Genomic DNA, 23,886 nt, shown 5'->3' with positions numbered 1-23,886 from the left:
GTGATTTACTCATACAAATTTTTAAAAAGAGGACTGTACCTCCTCAGGTAGACCAAGTGTTTGGAAGGACCAGCATGTGTTAAGAGGATCTAGCGGGGAAATAGGATTTGCCACAGAAATTACCTTACTCTGTTAACTTTGGACAATGTTCCATTGACTACCACTTGTCTTTGTCTTATAAGAATAGAATTTATGGAAGGAGAAAGAAACTTACAAGGAACGGGTAAAAGAATGAAACTGCTATTAATATGACTCAATGTTTTTTTCTTTCTTTTTTTTTTTTTTTGAAAAAAACTTCTAGATATTCCCCTTTTTTCAGATTATTCCAGATTCCATTTTTCTTTCTATGGATTTAAGATGGTAAATTTCTATTTAAAGTCTCATTGTTTGCTCTGATAGCTTTCTATATCTCTGATATATAATGGTCTCAGCAGGCTGAGTTTTACAAAGAGAATTCTACACTTCCTGACGAACATGCATTAGCTATTCCATAAGCACCCGGTGCTGTGCCAGAGGCTGTAAATGACACAGAGGAATGCTCTCAATCCAGTGTTGTTCCTTGCTGTGGAAAACAAACAGGCAAATGACTCCTCTTCTCTGGGCGCTATCTGTTACTCTAATATCTTATCTTAACACATTCTTAGTCCAACACTTACCCAGGAAGCTTGGGATATGGCTACTTATGAAGAAAGGATTACTCTTTTTTTTTTTTTTTCCCCTAGCTTTGGGCTCTTTATGAGGTTGGAAAACAAGTTTATTCCTATGTCTAATAAAATTTTACTACCGATTTCAAAACGCTTAAATTTTTTTTGCATTGCTTTCAATTGCTGCAATTTTTCCTAAGCCCAATAATTTTTTAATGCTATGTTAGTCACCAAGTAAACTACTCTTTTTCTCCAACTGAAGTATATAAGCACTATGGATTCTATGCCAGCCCAATAATGAACTCAATTAATGTTAATTGAGAGCAGCTTTGGGGGAAAAAAATCAGATTTTTACATTCATTCTTGAGTTTAGTGGAATAAACTTTTTTTTTTGGTGAAAGGGAACATAGAGTAGTGGTCAAGTAGCACGAATGCTGGAATCAGAGCTGTCAGATTCAAATCCTTGCTTTGCACATATTTGCTGTTGGATCTTGGGCAAGTTACCGAATTGCTCTGTGCTTCAATTTATTTATTTGTAAAATATTCATAATAACAGTATCTATTTCATAGGGTTATTATGAGGATTAAATGAGCTAATGTTGGCAGAGCACTTAGAATGGTGTGTGCCATTTAAGTGCTATATGAGTACTTCTTTTCATCTTTGCACCATCTATTCTGATTGATGGGACAGACAGGGGCTAGTGCTGGAGAGATAGGGTGTTCATTTGGTTCCGATGGTTCCTTTGTGATGATTGCCTGGTTCTTAACAAAAGGTTTTTATTTCAATGTGGATTGTATTTTCCTCCTTTCCTCCTTGGTTTTTACTAGAGGGATTTTTTTTTTTTTTTAATCAGGCAGCCCCCAAACCAGAGAGGCTCCTGGAGAATGTTTTAAAGTTACATAAATGATTATTTGCAAGATTACTTCTTGGCTAAAACTGGATTGGTTGAATGTGGCAGTTTTGAGACTATTTTCTGAACAAAGTTTTAAAGCTGGTTCTATGTAGATTTTTTTTTTCTCCCTGTGGGTGGCTCCAATGTATGAAATCATCCCCTTAGCTTTTTTTTTTTTTAAATCTTCAAATAAATAACAAAATGTAGATAATATCTAGATAAAACTTTTGGAGGGCTTGTGAGTAAAGGCTACTTATTTAAAACAAAACACTCAAAATAAATTGCATATAGACTAATTGAAGTAAGGGGCACCTGCAATTGTTATTAGACCTAATCTAGACCTTTTCACTAGTGGTTTATTTTTGGTTTATTTTTAAACAACACATATTCCCTTTATGAGAGAATGAGCTTCTGAGGCCAGTGAAGCATTTTGGCTGATGGCTGAGAGGTCACCCAGCAATGATAAAGTATCAGTTTGTTTTTTCTGGAGAGATATTTCCAAACAATAGTCGTTTGGGAGTTATAAACAGGCATCGAAGTTACTACTGAAAAGGTGAATTTGACAAATGAATTATAGATCTGTTGATAAATTGAGTAAATTGGATTTGATATATTAGATAATGGAGTGAGGAGATCAAGTGTGAAAATCACTACCTATAAAAATTAGTTAATTGCAACATTTCCCCATCAGTTTCATTTTTCATATGTGTGATTTTAAATAATTGACTTTGAAGTGTTTTATAAAATGACTTTTGAGTCTCTATTTTGTGTTCTTTTCATGATGTGTTTAACTTGGTATTTTAGTTTGGCAAAAACAAACAAATCCCCCCACCCCACTCCTCAAAAATGGGACTTGTAATAAAAGTTGCTTAAGAAATAGCATTAATTATATATATTTTCAAAACAGGCAATATATATTGTTCTGATAATTTCCTCCTAAATACTCAGTCTCTAAATTTATATTTTTCTTTTCTCCATAGCAATATGAAACTGTCTGTAAGAGGACTGTTCTTTATGATTGTTATAATTTTTCAACCAGAAGATACTACCTTTACAACCTCAGATACTAAGGGAGACAAATGTACTGAACTTACAAATGTATTATGTTGGATTACTAACAATAGACCTAATTGATAAAAGTGATTTAATATATGTTGTGTTAATAGCTAAACCTCCAAAGCCCCTAATCTCCCATGGAAATATTGCTTTGTAGAACAAAATCCAATGAGAAGTTCTGGGATTCCAGAGTGAATTTGTACATTCCTTAGGGGCATTTTTGCAAGGGAGGTTGTTGTGTTTTAAAGGTAGTTGATAAGAGACCTGCACCACCAACCCCAGACCTGCACCACCAACCACCATCATGCATTAGTCTATAGAAGGTATTTGGGTGTACGTACTCCTGTACCACTCGGTACCACCATTTAGCCAAGCGAAGTTTCTGACCATTTGCAGCATACATTATAAATCAGGATGTCACTACCAGACAATCAGATTTGAACATTCCATGAACAAAGTAGCCTATATACCCTAGAAATAGATCACTTAACTATGTTTATGTCATGCTGTTGATATGCCTGCATTTACACAAATCAGGATAGCACATTGCTTATTTATTTTAGGAGTAGGTACTTGATCTGTATATTTACCTAATTTTGGTTAATTAGCCAAAAATTGAAATGGGTAATTTAGCATGATTGCTTAAATACATGGGGAAGATATAATTATTCTTCCAACTGCAAAAATTTCTCCTTTATCCCTTGGGTTTGTGAAAGAATAAAATAATTTTGAGTCTTCTCTAAGTGGGGCTGGTAGTGGCTGCTTTCTTTGAAAAATTTTTCTATGTGGCACATAATGCTTGGGAAGGTCACTGGCCAGGTATTTGGGGAACTTTGTCCCTTGGGGAGACCTAGGAAAATCACAGGATATATTAGTTCAGTGAAGTGAGCTTGTTTAAGTTATATTGTCCTTCCAGTATCACTAGGGACTATCACTGCCACTTGGGGTGTCAACTTTTGGTGTCAAGTTTGTATACTCTTGTTGGCTGCAGAGATTTTGTTTTGTTTTGTTTTTGGCTCTTTGGTTTAAAAAAAATTGTTTGCAGAGATGAGCTTATAGATCTGGCAAGTTATAATTTAATTTTTAAAAATTAAGACAAAATATTAGTCTGAATCTAAGAATGAAAGGCCATAACTTGCTATATATGATTTAGTAATAAAAAATCACTTAAAAAATAAGGTGAGGAACTCAAGAAAGTATAGTCAAGCAAATGAAAAGTTACTCACGATGTTATCAATCAGAGATAACCACTGTTAACATTCTGGTCTTTTTTACGCTTTTTTTTTTTTTGCATATGTAACTCTGTTATCAGTAAAAATTTACGTCCTTGTTTTTGTTACATTAAATTATAAGTATTTCTCTAAGTACTTAGAATTTCTCCATAACCATTTTTTAAGTTACTAATATGTCAATATAAAGATGTAAACAAATTTAATCCTTTTATTGTTGGACATTTAGGAGGTTTGCAACTTCCTTTGTTATAAATAATGTTGCGATGAAAATCTTTATACATAAATCTTTGTCTACTTCTTTGATTAGTTCCTTAGGAAAAAAATCCTTGAAGTAAAAGTACTAAATTAAAGATCAAGTATTTTTAAAAAGCAAGATACGTGTTGTCAAACTGCTTTCCCAATGAGTTCCATCAAGATACACACTAATCAACTGTGTATGAAAATCACTTTCTTCCCACGGATGTTCAAATAAATATTTTTATATTATCATTGGGAGAATGTTTACCTAATTTTCTAATTTGCATTTCTTTGATTATCTAATTAGTTGAATAATTTTTCATTTTATCAAAAATTTATATTTCTTCGGTTAAATATCTGCATGGCATAAGTTTTTAAAATTTCTGTCTATTATTGCAGAATGTGACAGTGCGCATTTTCGCTGTGGAAGTGGGCATTGCATCCCTGCAGACTGGAGGTGTGATGGGACCAAAGACTGTTCAGATGACGCGGATGAAATTGGCTGCGGTAAGTGAGGAGGGGCCAGGCTAAGTTCTATTTTGAGTAACCTAAGTGCTTCCTGGTGATTTCAGCTGTAACAAAGAGAAGAGCTATGCCTTTTAGTGACAGAGCCAGGTCTGGGCCCAAGTCTTTTGAGATCTGTGTGGTTGAATAGAGAACTGATGGCATTAACAATAATTTCACTCCCTTCTGAGGTAGGGGTTCAATTCACATTGATGATAGAGCATCAGTTTCTATCTCACCCTTATCCCTTGACCACAACTTTGATATGGAAACATATTTGGGTGCAGTTTTCTGGAGTCTGTAGGTGATTATTTCTAATATTCACTCTGTAAATTTTGTGTACCCACAAGAACAAACAAAAAATAATGTTATCTGAACTACTGTGATTTGTAAGTCAAAGAGGAGTCCATTTTTATGTAAAGGATGTAGAATAACTTGTGTCAATTACCATAAAGAAATCACAGAATTGGTTAGTGTGATTTATGTTTTTTAAAAATTCTAGTTTTAAAAAATTTGAAAAATACGATAATGTAGTAAACTTCAAATCTAATTAATTATAAAATGACTTTCACATTCATTTTGTCATTTAGTTTTCTCACTAATCTTCTGAGGTCGGTTTCAGATTAGTAAATTGAGACTCGGAGAAGTTAAGTCATTTATTAAAGTTCTTACAGTTGGTAAGTCTATGCACAGATCCCATTGCTCTTCCCAACTTCCCATAGGTGATCAATCATACATCTGCAATTTCCTTCATCCCAGCAGGTGAACTAATGAGGGTTATCTTTCAAAAATCAGGAAAGCAGGTGAAAAATTTTTGTTTTGAATTGTTGGCCATGTTATGGCATACCATAGCAGTCAAACTTTGGTGTGTCATTTAGATGACAACGCATTTGAAAATGGGAGGAAGGGTAAGGATGGGGTTCTGTACAGTGCTCCTCAAATACTCATGCACAAATGGATCACCCAGGAGCTCATTAAAGTGCAAATTTAGATTCCATATTTTGAGGTGGGACCTCAGCTTCTGCGTTTCTATAAACTTCCTGATGATGTTGATGCTGCTAGTTTGTGGACTGCACTTTGAACAAGGGACTAAACTATATTTGTAGAGACACAATCATGTGCTAACTATTTGCCTCCTCTGGGCTTACTGAGTTCATTTTGATTAAACAATAAAAGCAAAAAGGCAAGGGCAGTGTATCTGGGGTAAAGGAATAAGTGAACAGCTATGCCAACAACTCTTCAGAGATTGTTACCTGTATTATATTTTATTGACCTGTAAAAATAATAACAATAACAACAATATCAATGACGATAGTGATAGCAAGTAACATTACATGGCGCTTTCACATACATTATTTAACTTATTTTTCACAACAAACAGTGAGATGAGTATAGTCCCCATTTTATGATGCATACATTGAGGTTCAGAGAACCTGCCAAAGATCTTAAAGGAAGTAAATCATGGAAATAATAATTATTTGATTTTGGGTTTTCTTTCCCAAATCTCATGAATTTTCCAGTTCATCATGATACTTTACTATTAGTTATTATGAAACAAATAGTTTAACAGTAACTCACAGTTAATGTTTACTTGAATGAAGCTTTTAATCTAATACCTTTATCATAATTTTTTTGTGTGTATGTGTGCTGTTTGTTTTATTCTCTGTGTTTTTAAGTTGCTTTGGTTCATGAGTTTGTTGTGATGCTGTTGCTGAGCTTATTTGACAGTGAACTCTGACTGGCGTCCACAGACTCTAGTATAAGGGTTGTTTACTATTTGCCTTCAAATAAATTGAGCAGGAGTTTACATGATACACTCTTCTGGAACAAGCATTGCTTGCTAGTATAATGGGGAGGATGATTGCCATAATGAGTCCTCTTTTGGTTTGTTTTAGCTGTTGTGACCTGCCAGCAGGGCTATTTCAAGTGCCAGAGTGAGGGACAATGCATCCCCAACTCCTGGGTGTGTGACCAAGATCAAGACTGTGATGATGGCTCAGATGAACGTCAAGATTGCTGTAAGTGTTTGGAGAGGAATCTTGCTTTGGCTTTGTGGACACCTAAAACCCAACCTGTCGCAAAGAAGTTACACACAATGGGATGATTCTTTATAAATGTGGAGCAGGGCCTTAAATCATAAGGGAACCTATGCCAGCAATCTCATTCAGGGGTTGGATGATATTGAAAGTACGGATGTACTGAAGAATTATGAATATACCCCAGCAATTTGGAAGTGAGATAGGTTCCCAATCTTTAATTTTGATTATGTTATGCTCAAGAAAGGAACCAAATATTTATTGGAGTGTATAGCTGGGTGTCTTCATGTGTGTGGTTGACAGCTGAATGAGTCCTTTGGCTCTGTGGCATACTTTGTATTCAAACCTTCCACTCCTTCTGCCCCAATATTAAATTCTCTTCTTTTTGACTGAGTGGAAGTAGGTAGGTTTGTTGGAGGGCTTCTTGGTGGTTACTTCAGTGACTGCTGCCACAGCCACCATAGGGAGAGCTTGAACAAGAAAGAAAATAGTAGCGATGAAGCGGATCTTGGCAACTGCGGCATCCCTGGACATTGAGGGGGTTTGGTTCAGTAACCTGGAAAAAACCTTTAAATTCTAATTTCTTTGGAATCAGACTGGAAAAGACTGTTTTAATAGGTCTAACAATAATTTTATTTTATTTATTTTTATTTTATTATTATTTTTAGAGTCAGGGTCTCACTCTCTCACCCAGGCTGGAGTGCAGTGGTGCGATCACAGCTCACTGCAGCCTCAAACACCGGGGCTCAGGTAATCCTCCTGCTTAAGCCTCCTGAGTAGCTGGGACTATAGGTGTGCACCACCATGCCCAGCTAATTTTTAAATTTTTTGTAGAGACACGATCTTGTTACGTTTCCCAGGCTGGTCTGGAATCCTGGGCTAAAGTGATCCTCCTGCCTTGGCCTCCCAAAATGTTGGGATTATAGGCATGACCCCCCCATGACTGGCCTGAAAATAATTTTAGATGAGAAGTAATGTTGGGTAAATATAAGATGGCGACCTATGAGCAATTTGTCTATCACATGTATCATTCCATTCCTTTCTCTATTAAGGATATTTGTATAATTTAAAATCATTCTTGTATCATTGTGGATGTTTTTGGCTGCAAGGAAAGAAAACACAACTCAAAAAAGTTAAACAAAAAGGGGATTTATTATCTCACATAATAAGAAGCCTAACTATAGGGTTGTTCCAGGGTTGATTAATTCCCAGCTCAGAAATATTATCCAGCTTTTTCTCACTTTTTTGCTCTGCCATATTTATCCTATTGGCCTTTCTTGATTGCATAAAAGCTGCTCAAGTCTCAAAATTTGCATCCTGAAGGCCTGACATTCTCTCAGGCAGAGAGGAGGTTCTTAATAGATAGATACTAAATGCATAAATGATGGGTTGTTCATCTTTAGGCTATATAGTTTTGAGTCTATTTTCTCTTACTCCTCTCACAGAGTGGGAAGAAAGCTGAGCTTTATTTTGCGATTCAATGTGTGGTGGATGACCCTTTGCTAATAATAATACTTTACAGAGGGGATTGGAACTACTAAGGGCAACTGCTTGGGAAAAGAGACTGGAGATAAGTTTATAGCAGTCATTTTAAAACAATATTGCATATCATTTTAAATGACTATACATTTCATGAGGCAATTCTCCCATTTTTAATGATATAAAAATTCTCCATTAGATATCTTTTAACCACAAACAAAATATGCCACCTCTGTATTCACTAAAGTTACCAGATAACTCCTGATTGCCAATGGGCACTTTTCCTTCCTTCTCACACTGGATGGGCATTTAGATTGCACTTGACTCTGGAGACCATTCCTCCTTCTTGACACCACTCCCTTGGCTGCCATGACTCCCAGCAGTCCTGGCTCTCTTTTGAGCTGCTTTGGTCATTCCATTTTATTTTCCTCTTCTACTCAGCCCTTGAGTATTGGTGTTGCTCAGAGCCCTGCCCTGAGCAGCTTTTCTCATTCTGGACACTCTCAGGATAGTCTCACCATTCTCATGACTTTAGTGACCCTCTGTGGCCTGATGAGACTTAAATCTGTGTTTACAACCCAGATTTTTGCCCACACTTGAGTCTTGTATACTCAACTACCTTTGGACCTCTGCAAGTTGCCTTGAACTCAAGGTGTCCCAACTGAAAATAATCATCTTCCCTCCTGAACTGGATTTTCCTTCTATATTTGCTAGTCTACATATTTTATCTTTATTAATAGAAATAGCATTTAACCCACTATGAGGCACTGGCAGAAAATACAAAATCAGTCTTAAACTATTGGAAATAGGCAGATGGAGGCTCTCTTACTTGTTGAATTTGTGAAACATATTTCATAATGAAAGTATTTTATTAGATGAAGAAGAAAGATTGCTGTAAGTGACAGGAAAGATATAATCAATTAACATGAAAAGGCTATCACAATCCCCTAGGCACCCACGCTAGAAACTTGGAGGTTATTCTTGATTCCTTCCTCTTTTTCACTGCCCACATTGAATCACCAACTCCTGCCTAATTTGCCTCATAAATATTTCTAAAGTTAATCTCTTCATTTCTCTCTCTTTTATTTTTATTTTTTGGCAAGGACAGATTTTTTTTTTTTTTGAGACAGGGTCTTGCTCTGTTGCCCAGGCTGGAATGCAGTGGTGCAATCATGGCTCACTGTAGCCTTGACCTCCTGGGCTCAAATGGTCCTCCCACTTCTCAGCCTCCAGAGTAGCTGGGACTACGGGCGCATGGCACCATACCTGGCTAATTTTGTATTTTTTTTTTTTTTTTTTTTTTTTGTAGAGATGGGGTTTTCCCATGTTGCCCAGGCTGGTCTCCAACTCCTGGCCTGAAGTGATCCACCCACCTTGGCCCCCCAAGTGCTGGGATGATAGGTGTGAGCCACCATGTCTGACCCATCTCTTTATTTCTGCTCCCACTGCCAACATCTCTCATTTGGGTGTCAGCAGTAGTCTCTGGGTTGGCCTCCCTGCCTCCAGTTCTGTGGATCCTTAGATTCTCTCTGACACTGATGCTGATCTAACTAAGATTCTTTGGTAGCTCTCCATTAATTCCAGGAGAAAGTTCCAATTCCCTAACACGGTTTACAGTGGCTTCCAAGATGTGACTAGTGCTTATTTTCCTATGTCTATCATTTGCTATTCTTGCCTTGAAGTGGCCACTTGGGCACAGCAGTGCTTTTAGTTCCTGTGGGTGTGCCATGCTGTGTCCTAGCCTTTTGTCTCCGTGCAAGCTGGCTGAATGCTGAATGCTCGGTTCTAGACAGTCCTTCTTTGCTTTTGGCCTACCTGACTGCTGCTTCTTTAAGACCCAGGGAGGTGTCACTTTTTCAAGGAAACTGTCCCCATCCATGCTCCCATCCCAGAGTGAATTAAGTTCCTGGATTGATGGTTCTATCATTCCTGTGTGCCTATAATCCACTTTCATAATTGTTTTCTAATTACTCCTTAGTGTCCCCTAGAAGACTATGAGCTTCTTGAGGGTAGGGATTGTGCCTTATTCATTTGCAGATCCCCATATTGCTATACTGTGTGGTACATTATAGGCCCTCAACAGATGTTTGTGTAATTAATGAATAGATGAATCTCAGCATTAGATAGGTTGATGGAATTATATAATTTTAATTTGTTTGCTCTCTACATTTGAATGAGCTTTTAATTGCTTCTTCGTAAGCCCTTTGAAAACCTAAGCACAACATTTAGAATTATTTGGGCTTGACGTAAAGAAGAAAGCCAAGGTAATTGAACGAGCACTGATACCTGACCCAGGTTCTTTTCATATTTTGTTTGAGACAACCCATGACTTGCCTTCTCGGGAATAAAAGAAAGTTCTTTAATTTTATGTGAAAATTGGCAATATATACTTAAATAAATTATTTGGAAATTTAATGAGGAAGTATTAATCTCTTTAACCTTTTTCAGATAAAATTGTGTCTCTGCCATGGGCAGAATTCAGACACTTAAGTGCCTTCTGGAAAAATCTATCTATTCTGCCTTTATTAATAGAAGTAAAATTGGACCCACAGGTATAAGGTACTTAGAGAAAATATGAAATTATTTAGTGTTAGAAGTAGGCTGACTTGAAAAATTTTGTTTGCTGTTCCAGAATTATAAGACACCATTTTGCTAATTAAACAGAAAGAAGGAACAAAATGACAAGGAAGATATAATCAATTAAGCATGGAGAAGGGTGTTAATTATGGTTTTATAATTATTATATCTTATCACATGATAATTTCTATATGTTTGAATTTTCAAGTACCACCTTGAAAACTGTCACTGTCTACTTATCTTTTACATATTTTTTTTTTTTTAGAGACAGGGGTCTTGCTTTGCTGCCCAGGCTGGAGTGCAGTGGCATGATTATAGCTCACTCTAACTACATAAAAAGAGAAGTTTTTTTTGGCTCAAGTGATCCTCCTACCTCAGCCTTCCAAATAGCTACGACTACAGCTACTTGGAAGTGAGCCACTGTGCCCAGCTAAATTTATTTTTTTTTTCTTTTAAGATATAAGGATCTCACTATGTTGCCCAGGCTAGTCTTGAATTCTTGGCCTCAAGTGATCTTCTTGCCTCAATCTCCCATAGCTGGGATTAAAGGCACGAGCCACTGTGCCAGGTTTACTTGTCGTTTGAAAAGGTTTTTCATGTTAAGTTTTGGGGGTACATTCCTTAACAGATCTAATTTTATCAGAAAACCAAGTTTTGCTGAACCTAAATATCTATACTACATATAAGTAAAAGAAGCTCTGTAGGCTGGGAGCCTCGGATCCCTGACAGTTTTGCAGAACGCTGATATCTATGGACTCTAAAATAGACTTCATTTATAGATACCCACGGACCACTAATGGACAAAAACATGAATCAATATGTATTGTGGCATTCAAATCCTAGCGCTTTGGGAGAGGAGGGAGGTTCCAAGATGGCCGAATAGGAACAGCTCCAGTCTACAGCTCCCAGCGTGAGCAACATAGAAGACGGGTGATTTCTGCATTTCCAACTGAGCTTTGAAGAGAGTAGTGGATCTCCCAGCACAGAGTTTGAGATCTGAGAATGGACAGACTACCTCAAGTGGGTCCCTGACCCCCGAGTAGCCTAACTGGGAGACACCTCCCAGTAGGGGCCGACTGACACCGGATACGGCCAGGTGCCCCTCTGAGACGAAGCTTCCAGAGGAACGATCAGGAAGTAACATTTGCTGTTCTGCAATATTTGCAGTTCTGCAGACTCCACTGATGATACCCAGGCAAACAGGGTCTGGAGTGGACCTCCAGCAAACTCCAACAGACCTGCAGCTGAGGGTCCTGATGGTTAGAAGGAAAACTAACAAACAGAAAGGGCATCTACACCAAGACCCCATCTGTACATCACCATCATCAAAGACCAAAGGTAGATAAAATCACAAAGATGGGGAGAAACCAGAGCAGAAAAGCTGAAAATTCTAAAAATCAGAGCACCTCTTCTCCTTCAAAGGAACGCAGCTCCTCACCAGCAACAGAACAAAGCTGGATGGAGAGTGACTTTGAGAGTTGAGAGAAGAAGGCTTCAGACGATCGGTAATAACAAACTTCCCCAAGCTAAAGGGGGATGTTCAAACCCATCGCAAAGAAGCTAAAAATCTTGAAAAAAGATTAGATGAATGGCTAACTAGAATAACCAGCATAGAGAAGACCTTAAATGACCTGATGGAGCTGAAAACCATGGCATGAGAACTACGTGATGCATGCACAAGCGTCAATAGCCGTTTCGATCAACTGGAATAAAGGGTATCAGTGATTGAAGATCAAATGAATGAAATGAAGTGAGAAGAGCAGTTTAGAGAAAAAAGAGTAAAAAGAAATGAACAAAGCCTCCAAGAAATATGGGACTATGTGAAACGACCAAATCTACGTCTGATTGTTGTACCTGAAAGTGACGGGGAGAATGGAACCAAGTTGGAAAACACTCTGCAGGATATTATCCGGGAGAACTTCCCCAACCTAGCAAGGCAGGCCAACACTCAAATTCAGGAAATACAGAGAATGCCACAAAGACATACCTCGAGAAGAGCAACTCCAAGACACGTAATTGTCAGATTCACCAAAGTTTAAATGAAGGAAAAAATGTTAAGGGCAGCCAGAGAGAAAGGTCGGGTTACCCACAAAGGGAAGCCCATCAGACTAACAGCTGATCTCTCGGCAGAAACTCCACAAGCCAGAAGAGAGGGGGGGCCAATATTCAACATTCTTAAAGAAAAGAATTTTCAACCCAGAATTTCATATCCAGCCAAACTAAGCTTCATAAGTGAAGGACAAATAAAATCCTTTACAGACAAGCAAATGCTGAGAGATTTTGTCACCACCAGGCCTACCTTACAAGAAATCCTGAAGGAAGCACTAAACATGGAAAGGAACAACTGGTACCAGCCACTGCAAAAACATGCCAAATTCTAAAGACCATCAAGGCTAGGAAGAAACTGCATCAACTAACGAGCAAAATAACCAGCTAACATCATAATGACAGGATCAAATTCACACATAACAATATTAACCTTAAATGTAAATGGGCTAAATGCTCCAATTAAAAGACACAGACTGGCAAATTGGATAAAGAGTCAAGACCCATCAGTGTGCTGTATTCAGGAAACCCATCTCACGTGCAGAGACACACATAGGCTCAAAATAAAGGGATGGAGGAAGATCTACCAAGCAAATGGAAAACACAAAAAAAGGCAGGGGTTGCAATCCTAGTCTCTGATAAAACAGACTTTAAACCAACAAAGATCAGAAGAGACAAAGAAGGCCATTACGTAATGGTAAAGGGATCCAGTCAACAAGAAGAGCTAACTATCCTAAATATATATGCACCCAATACAGGAGCACCCAGATTCATAAAGCAAGTCCTTAGAGACCTACAAAGACACTTAGACTCCCACACAATAATAATGGGAGACTTTAACACCCCACTGTCAACATTAGACAGATCCACGAGACAGAAAGTTAACAAAGATTTCCAGGAATTGAACTCAGCTCTGCACCAAGCAGACCTAATAGACATCTACAGAACTCTCCACCCCAAATCAACAGAATATACATTCCTCTCAGCACCACATTGCACTTATTTCAATATTGACCACATAGTTGGAAGTAAAGCACTCCCCATCAAATGTAAAAGGACAGAAATTATAACAAACTGTCTCTCAGACCACAGTGCAATCAAACTAAAACTCAGGATTAAGAAACTCACTCAAAACCGCTCAACTACATGGAAACTGAACAACCTGCTCCTGAATGACTACTGGGTACATAAAGAAATGAAGGCAGAAATAAAGATGTTCTTTGAAACCAATGAGAACAAAGACACAACATACCAGAATCTCTGGGACACACTTAAAGCGTGTGTAGAGGGAAATTTATAGCACTAAATGCCCACAAGAGAAAGCAGGAAAGATCTAAAATTGACACCCTAACATCACAATTAAAAGAACTAGAGAAGCCAGAGCAAACACATTCAAAAGCTAGCAGAAGGCAAGAAATAACTAAGATCAGAGCAGAACTGAAGGAGATGGAGACACAAAAAACCCTTCAAAAAATCAATGAATCCAGGAGCTGGTTTTTTGAAAAGATCAACAAAATTGATAGACCACTAGGAAGACTAATAACGAAAAAAGAGAGAAGAATCAAATAGACACAATAAAAAATGATAAAGGGGATATCACCACCAATCCCTCAGAAATACAAACTACCATCAGAGAATACTATAAAAACCTCTATGCAAATCAACTAGAAAATCTAGAAGAAATGGATAAATTCCTTGACACATACGCCCTCCCAAGACTAAACCAGGAAGAAGTTGAATCCCTGAATAGTCCAATAACAGGCTCTGAAATTGAGGCAATAATTAAGAGGCTACCAACCAAAAGAAGTCCAGGACCAGACTGATTCACAGCCGAATTCTACCAGAGGTACAAGGAGGAGCTGGTACCATTCCTTCTGAAACTTTTCCAATCAAAAGAAAAAGAGGGAATCCTCCCTAATTCATTTTATGAGGCCAGCATCATCCTGATACCAAAGCCTGGCAGAGACACAACAAAAAAAGAGAATTTTAGACCAATAGCCCTGATGAACATCGATGCAAAAATCTTCAGTGAAATACTGGCAAACCCAATCCAGCAGCACATCAAAAAGTTTATCCACCATGATCAAGTTGGTTTCATCCCTGGGATGCAAGGCTGGTTCAACATACGCAAATCAATAAGCGTAATCCATCATATAAACAGAACCAAAGACAAAAACCACATGATTATCTCAATAGACGCAGAAAAGGCCTTTGACAAAATTCAACAGCCCTTCATGCTAAAAACTCTCAATAAATTAGGTATCAATGGGACGTATCTCAAAATAATAAGAGCTATTTATGACAAACCCACAGCCAATATCATCCTGAATGGGCAAAAACTGGGAGCATTCCCTTTGAAAACTGTCACCACTCTTATTCAACATAGTGTTGGAAGTTCTGGCCAGGGCAATCAGGCAGGAGAAAGAAATAAAGGGTATCCAATTAGGAAAAGAGGAAGTCAAATTGTCCCCGTTTGCAGATGACATGATTGTATATTTAGAAAACCCCATCGTCTCAGCCCAAAATCTCCTTAAGCTGATAAGCAACTTCAGCAAAGTCTCAGGATACAAAATCAATGTGCAAAAATCACAAGCATTCCTATATACCAATAACAGACAAACAGAGAGCCAAATCATGAGTGAATTCCCATTCACAATTGCTTCAAAGAGAATAAAATACCTAGGAATCCAACTTACAAGGGATGTGAAGGACCTCTTCAAGGAGAACTACAAACCATTCTCAGTGAAATAAAAGAGGACACAAACAAATGAAGGAACATTCTATGCTTATGGATAGGAAGAATCAATATCATGGAAATGGCCATACTGCCCAAGGTAATTTATAGATTCAATGCCATCCCCATCAAGCTACCAATGACTTTCTTCACAGAATTGGAAAAAACTACTTTAAAGTTCATATGGAACCAAAAAAGAGCCCACATTGCCAAGACAATCCTAAGCCAAAAGAACAAAGCTGGAGGCATCATGCTACCTGACTTCAAACTATACTACAAGGCTACAGTAACCAAAACAGCATGGTACTGGTACCAAAACACAGATATAGACCAATGGAACAGAATAGAGCCCTCAGAAATAATACCACACATCTACAACCATCTGATCTTTGACAAACCTGACAAAAACAAGAAACGGGAAAAGGATTCCCTATTTAATACATGGTGTTGGGAAAACTGGCTAGCCATATGTAGAAAGCTGAAACTGGATCCCTTCCTTACACCTTATACAAAAATTAATTCAAGATGGATTAAAGACTTAAATGTCAGACCTAAAACCATAAAAACCCTAGAAGAAAACCTAGGCAATACCATTCAGGACATAGACATGGGCAAGGACTTCATGTCTAAAACACCAAAAGCAATGGTAACAAAAGCCAAAATTGATAAATGGGATCTCATTAAACTAAAGAGTTTCTGCACAGCAATAGAAACTACCATCAGAGTGAACAGGCAACCTATAGAATGGGAGAAAATTTTTGCAATCTACCCATCTGACAAAGGGCTGATATCCAGAATCTACAAAGAACTTAAACAAATGTACAAGAAAAAAACAAACAACCCCATCAAAAAGTGGGCAAAGGACATGAACAGACACTTCTCAAAAGAAGACATTTATGCAGCCAACAGACACATGAAAAAATGCTGATCATCACTGAGCATCAGAGAAATGCAAATCAAAACCACAATGAGATATCATCTCACACCAGTTAGAATGGTGATCATTAAAAAGTCAAGAAACAACAGGTGCTGGAGAGGATGTGGAGAAATAGGAACACTTTTACACTGTTGGTGGGACTGTAAACTAGTTCAACCATTGTGGAAGACAGTGTGGCGATTCCTCAAGGATCTAGAACTAGAAATACCATTTGACCCAGCCATCCCATTACTGAGTATATACCCAAAGGATTATAAATCATGCTGCTATAAAGACACATGCACACATATGTTTTTTGTGGCACTATTCACAATAGCAAAGACTTGGGACCAACCCAAAAGTCCATCAATGATACACTGGATTAAGAAAATGTGGCACATATACACCATGGAATACTATGCAGCCGTAAAAAAGGATGAGTTCCTGTCCTTTGTAGGGACATGGATGAAGCTGGAAACGATCATTCTGAGCAAACTATCGCAAGGACAGAAAACCAAACACCGCATGTTCTCACTCATAGGTGGGAATTGAACAATGAGAGCACCTGGACACAGGATGGGGAACATCACAAACTGGGTCCTGTCGTGGGGTAGGGGAGAGGGGAAGGATAACATTAGGAGATACACCTAACGTAAATGACTAGTTAATGGGGGCAGCACACCAACATGGCAGATGTATACATATGTAACAAACCTGCACGCTGTGCACATGTACCCCAGAACTTAAAGTAAAATAATAATAATAAAAAAGGAATTATAAAAAAAAGAAGTTTTGTAAAAATTGAGAGCAAATCTTTTTTCTTCCATTAGGGGATTATATTATATTTTTTAGATGATCACGTTTTCCCCCAAAGCTCTTTGTATGTAGACAATTTAAAATCCCAGGATAAGATAATGTTACCATGTTATGGTAATTCCTGCCTCAGATTTACAGGATAGCTTTCACATCATGCTTGCGGGCATCAGTTCACTGGATTTTATCTGTTTTATCCGGAGGCAAATTTCATGAACTGCTGATGCCCTGCTTTCACCTATACTAATCAACATGGGATGAAATCAAGCTAGCTTAAATTTTTTTCTCTTTATAAAATTGATACATGGTCAATGTAGGCAGTTTATAGAATAGAGGAAACTATATAGAAAAAAATAAAATCACTCATATTCATATTCACACCACTCTGGAATAACTGCTATTAAAGCTTTGGTATATTTCCTTCTTGTTTATACAAGGATTTCAATGGGTGGGTTGGGGGTCCTTGGTTAATACCTATACTTGCAAAATTTTTATTTCATTAAACTTTTTACCATATAGTTTTAAAATCTATATTGTATTCTTTACACATGTTGATAACGTAATTGTGTACATAGCATGCTTGAGTGTGGACACTATTCTCTGGGCATTTTGATAACATTATACTTCTGTTTTTGCTTTGTAAGCTCAGCTTGGTGGTAGCCAGGTACTTTACCTTGTGTCCCTATGAACTTTATGCTTTCCAATATCCTTGTTAATGACAATAGATTAGTCTGTGTCTAGCAATAATTATAAATTAAGTAATAATTTTTTCTCTTCGCAGCACAAAGTACATGCTCAAGTCATCAGATAACATGCTCCAATGGTCAGTGTATCCCAAGTGAATACAGGTGCGACCACGTCAGAGACTGCCCCGATGGAGCTGATGAGAATGACTGCCGTGAGTCTGTTTTAGTCCTTGCACTGTATTTGGTTTCACCCTTGTCCCTTTGGCATTTTAATCAATTTGTTAGATTTGTTGATGGACATAAATGCCTACAATATGCCTCTTGTTATTGCAATCTCTTGGCAGATTCTTTTGTGGATTAGGGGTGATGTTCTGATAAGAGTCTATTTTTAACAAGACATTCTAAGAGTGTCCTGCCTTAGTGCATCAAGTTTCTGTATTTTTTATAGTAAGAAACTTTTAACATGAACATAGATTCTGAAAGGAAGGATAATTAAATACATTGAGTACAGAATCAAGTTTGGTAAATTTTAACTGTTATTACACAGCTATAGTAAGTTTCTAGGTCAAATTTCTCACTAGTTTTCCTGCTTTTATGAACTCAACATTTTTCAGATTACCTTTGGAAAAGTGTTACATTTTGAAAATGTCTTTTCCTATAACAGCAGCATACTATATCTCTTTGTAACTGATCACCACAAAATAAGACATATAAATCATAGTATTCTATGTATAATGTATAAATATTACCACACCAAAATAAGAAAGTGCAATCATGGTTCATTATCTAGTAACAGGTAAGTAAAGAACAATCTTCCTCTTTCGAGGCTTATATAGAAGTGTTAGGATATGAGAAGATAGGAATTAGTCTGCTGTGTCAGTCCTATAGTCCATATAATTGTCTTTAATCTCAGGCATACCACAGTTTCTCTCTCTTTCTGTTTTTTATTTTTTATTTTTGAGAAGGAGTTTCACTCTTGTTGCCCAGGCTGAGTGTGATGGCATGCTCTCGGCTCACCGCAACCTCCACCTCCCAGGTTCAAGCGATTCTCCTGCCTCAGCCTCCCGAGTAGCTGGGATTACAGGCATGCGCCACCACGCCCGACTAATTTTTGTATTTTTAGTAGAGATGGCATTTCACCATGTTGGTCAGGCTGGTGTTGAACTTCTGACCTCAGGTGATCCACCCGCCTCGGCCTCCCAAAGTGCTGGGATTACAGGCATGAGCCACTGTGTCTGGCCCCTAGTTTCTCTGAAAAGTTCTTACAAGTCTAGCGTTTATGAATTTTTCCAGAAGTTCCTTGAGTTTTTAATATATATATATTTTAATATATACATATAACATATATTTCTGACAGGCCTTTTCGTGCAGTCCTGCATTTCATAAATTTACTATGTGCTGTATAAAGATATAGTCATGTGTCATTTAATGAGGGGGACACATTCTGAGAAATGTATTATTAGGCAATTTTGTTGTTGTGTGAACGTGATAGAGTGTTGTTAAACAAACCTGGATGGTATAGCCTACTGCACACCTAGGGTAAACAGTATATACCCTAGGCATATACTGTTGCTCCTAGGCTACAAACCTGAACACCATGTTCCCGTGCTAAATACTACAGGCAATTGGAACACAATGTTAAGTATTTATGTAGCTAAACATATGTAAACATAGAAAAGGTACAGCAAAAATATGGTATTATAATCTTAGGGGACCACTGTAGTACATGTAGTCCATGCGGTCTGTCGTTGACCGAAAGAGCCATATGCGGTTCCTGACTGTACTTCCTTTTGTTTGCTCTTAAATTTATATTTCAAACTTCAAGAAATTATCCCAGTATTCCATTAATTGGTGAGCAGATTTTTGTGTACCTTAGAAATCTTGATCATAAACTTTTCAGTTATTATGTCTCCAACGGAAGATTCAAGTTTTAGCCTATTCTCACGGGATATCTCCTCTATTGTTTTATAATTTTGATTTAATTTTAGTTCTCTGGATTGTCTCTAAATTCCTTCCTTTGATACAAATGGTTTATTTTATGCTTTCTGATAAAAGAACTATCTTGTGTAAATTTTGCTAAACTTCCCAATATGGTGCTGTGACTAGGGTAGGAGCTAACATACATTGATTATGGCAAGCAAATTGTTTCTAGTCACTGTACATTTCAAACTATACTGTTCATGGAAGATATACTTGTATATGTGCAAAAGCAAGACCTATGCTTCCATCCATACCATGACCACATGGTGCATTTTTAAAAACGACCCTTCTCCAGTGCTTTCTCCCTTGCATGTTATTTTTCTTTGGGAGAAATGTCTGTGCTATTTGCCATTGTCTCTCCATTTCCTAGCAGAGTTCCTAGTACAGTTCTGTTCTAATTTTCATCTGAAATATTCTTATTTATCTATTTATTTTTAATTTTACTTTAAGTTCTGGGATACATGTGTGACGTTCCCCTCTCTGTATCCATGTGTTCTCATCGTTCAACTCCCACTTATGAGTGAGAACATGTGGCGTTTGGTTTTCTATTCCTGTGTTAGTTTGCTGAGAATGATGGCTTCCAGCTTCATCCATGTCCTTGTAAAAGACATGAACTTGTTCCTTTTTAGGGCTGCGTAGTATTCCATGGTGCATATATGCTACATTTTCTTTATCCAGTCTATCATTGATAGGCATTTGGGTTGGTTCCAAGTCTTTGCTATTATAAATAGTGCTACAATAAACATACATGTGCATATGTCTTTATTTTTTGAAAGACATTACAGTGTTTCCACTTTGGATTTACCTTCACTCTGGAAATTATGCAAAGAATTTAGACTAAACTCTGGCAAGTTTAGAGATGGTAGCGTGTGTCTGGATGCCACAGAATAGCAAGTTTAGGGGTCAAAGATTCTCCTTTCAGTGCTTTGTAAAGCACACAGTAGGTTCTTCATTTAGGCAAATGAAGAAGATATTTTTGATTAATAATAATGATAAACCATATGTTATATTTTGTAGCATTTTATAAATTTCAGAGCATTATATAAATTCTAGTTGTTACTATTAGGTTCCTTTATGAGGACAATAGGGCAGGCACTATTATAATCTCTTATGAATAAACAAAAACTTCAAAGAGAAGCGTGACTTGTTTGAGGTTGTATAGTAGAGATAGGGCTTAATTTGTCTTCTAGTTCCAAGTCTGGTGATTGCTCTTCATGGAGGGCTTTATTTACAGAAGGAGAAAGTCCTATCTTGTACAAGTTAAGAGACCACCAGAGGCCTGTACCACCAGCCAAAAGTCTGTGTCTTTATCCCTTATTTACAAGTAGATGAAAATGAGTGCTTTATTGCAAATGCAGTGGGACTAAAGGAACTGCTACTTTGGGGAAAATAAAAGTCAGCTGAAACAGAATGTTTGCAGCCAAGACTAAAGTCACTAATACAACCGGCTCACAACTTTGCCAATGAACCTTCTGGCAAAAACCTGGCAGGATACGAATATGTAAGTAGCTGCTGTAAAAGGGAACGAAGCAGAGGAAATGAGCTTTGTAAGTTATTATATCTGGGCAGGAATTTTTAATCAAGTTTTTTTTTATTTAAAAAAATTTAAGTACAAATAGTTGGTGAAATAATGATTCACTAAGGAAAGAAAACCAAATTTGGCTTACTGTTTCTGGAATCATACAAGTCATGAACCCTTCAGGGCACACTGTGACCTAAAATGAATCACATGCATGTAAGGGATTTTGCAGTGAGGCATTCTTTCCTATTTCCCTCTACCTTGTTTATTTATAGCTAAGTTTCATTTATGGAGCAGTGTAAAAAAAAAAACCTCAGAAATCAGAGGAAATGTAGAAAAGAAACTTCTTATTCTTTTGTTAGTGCTTTGATCTGGTCACAGTCAGATATATACAAGAAGGAAATGAATGGCCTCGATCAAAGTCCTTAGAAAATGCTAGTATAGGGGATGGGTTGCAGGAGTGATCCCATTTTGTTTTCCTTCTTTGTTTAAAGCTCTTGTGGAAAGTGGGAAAGGGAACTGCCAGTCACCGAGCACCAGCCACCACCTTACCCACTTTTCACGTCAATGCTGCAAGGTGGGTATGAGGACCAGCTCTGTTTTACAGAGATTGTAAAGATTATCAAGATGTAAGAGTAGGGGAGCCAGGATTTTAACCTAGGTCTAAACCATATGCCTGTGCTCTTAAAAGATTTTGCTTTAGGAATAGAAACGTATAACTTATTTTTGTTTAAAGGTTACTTAGCTATTTTATTATTTTTACATATTATTGTCTAAACCTTTTTTAGTATGGAAGGTTTTTTTTAACATATACAAAAGAAGCATGAAGTGTATAGTGAACCCCTTTGTATGCATCACTCAATTACATCAATGATGAACTCATAACTAATATTGTTTTATTTATTCTCTTTATTCTCCCCATTATTTTGAAGTATTTCTTAGACATTGTATAATTCCACCTGTAAATATTTCAGTATTTATCTCTAAAATATAAGGACTGAAACATAATCATAATATCATTATCACACCTAAAAATTAAACAACTCTTCTTTAAAATAATCAGATATTGAGTCAGTTTTTAAAATTCCCCAATCATCTTGTTATTTTTTATAGTTTGATTATTTAAATCAAAGTCCAAATAAAATCTTTATGTTCAAGTTAGTTGATATGTCTCATAAGCCTTTCAATTTATGGGGTTTCCTTCTATTTCTGTTCTTTACCCCTTGCAATTTACTTGTTAAAAAAAAAAACCCAGGTCACTTGTCCTGGAGTTTCCCACAGTCTGGCTTGTGTTCATTGTGTCCCCTGATGTCCTTTAACACATTCTCTGTCCTCTGTATTTCTTGGCAATTAGTAGCTAGACCTGGAGCAGGGTTTCTCGACCTTCACACTAATGACATTTGGGACCGGACAGTTCTTTCTTGTGCATTGTAGAATGTCTAACAGTATCCCTGGCCTCTATCCACTAGATGTCTGTAGCATTGCCCAGTCGTGACAATCCAAAATGTCTCTGGACGTTGTCAAATGTCCTCCAGGAGCCAAATCATCCAGTTGAGAACCACTGATTTAGGGGACTGAACAGGTGCAAGGATTTTCTTGGTGGGGAAACAAGGGAAGGCAAGAGTACTTTTTATATAAATCTGTGTATTTTCATTAGGAGACACAGGATAGCTAGCTGTCTGTGATGTGAGTAGCCATTGATGATCATTGCTGAAATCCATTTAGTCATAGCAGTACTTAGTTATTTTAAATGTTGCATTAGATATATAACAGCTGTTATTAGTTGCTTTAAATTAGAATGTTTTCATGTGATCAAAGATTAAATGAGGCTTAGCCAGAAATCATCTTCATGAGACATGACACTTTATTATTTCTGCAGTGACGATGCATGGAAATCATTACTTGTGGACAAACTTAGAATTAGCCTGTGAATGGGGCTTTTGTTTTTCTATTTCTCAGAAATAGAATGGCCTATAGGAATGAATATATTAGGTACCTGGAAACCACCTAAAAATAGTAATGGATGTTGGAAAAGCTCCAAAGAAGGGCTCAATTCTTCCCTCTAATATTCAAAAGGATTAGGGAGCTTGATGTTGTAGTTTGTAGCCCTGCCTGTCATTCCAGACCCCTAGGTTGTAGTTCATACCCTTTCAAGCTTCTAAAATCAAGACACTGAGCTCCAAGACAGAGTACCTTGTGTCCATTCCGGGCATTCCTTTACAGAACAAAGAGTGGTGTGTAAGAGTCCTCTCAGGGAGGCAGGCAGGGAGAGAGGAGGTGAGAGAATGTTCGAGATGGTGAGGAAGGGGAGGATATTAGGGTCTCAACAAAAAGATTATTTTTGAGATAAATGTGGTATAGTATGAGAGATTCTTATTGCGTTTGGTCTTTTTATCTGCTTCATCTTTATATGCATAAGGTATTGGTGGTTATTTTACCCTTTTAGAAAAATTTTTGAATATATATATATTAAAACCTGTGAAACAGGTAAAAGCTCATTTTCCCCCTTAGTTCTTTTATTATTCAATCTGGTC

General features: G+C 37.3%; 1 protein-coding gene across 3 annotated transcripts in view, besides 1 other annotated feature; it reads left to right on the top strand.

Moving 5' to 3' along the window:
• Positions 1 to 23,886, top strand: part of LRP2 (LDL receptor related protein 2) — a 235,426-nt gene that overhangs the window by 37,189 nt on the left and 174,351 nt on the right. For all 3 annotated transcript variants that reach the window (XM_011511183.4, NM_004525.3, XM_047444340.1), the window contains exons 2-4: positions 4,462 to 4,569; positions 6,462 to 6,584; positions 17,949 to 18,065. In XM_011511183.4, the coding sequence (XP_011509485.1) occupies positions 4,462 to 4,569; positions 6,462 to 6,584; positions 17,949 to 18,065 (348 nt within the window). The remainder of the gene's footprint in view (positions 1 to 4,461; positions 4,570 to 6,461; positions 6,585 to 17,948; positions 18,066 to 23,886) is intronic.
• Positions 16,727 to 16,889: a silencer, noted in NCBI's record as "fragment chr2:170164967-170165129 (GRCh37/hg19 assembly coordinates)". NCBI's record gives its function as "represses an EF-1alpha promoter that drives an FKBP-Casp9 reporter gene in an ReSE screen in HepG2 liver carcinoma cells {active_cell/tissue: HepG2}" and the evidence as "EXISTENCE:reporter gene assay evidence [ECO:0000049][PMID:32094911]".

This window comes from Homo sapiens, chromosome 2 (genome assembly GCF_000001405.40).
Source record: "Homo sapiens chromosome 2, GRCh38.p14 Primary Assembly".
Taxonomy (NCBI): domain Eukaryota; kingdom Metazoa; phylum Chordata; class Mammalia; order Primates; family Hominidae; genus Homo; species Homo sapiens.
Note: the sequence above shows the minus strand (reverse complement) of the source record. Positions and strands in the feature narration are given on the sequence as shown.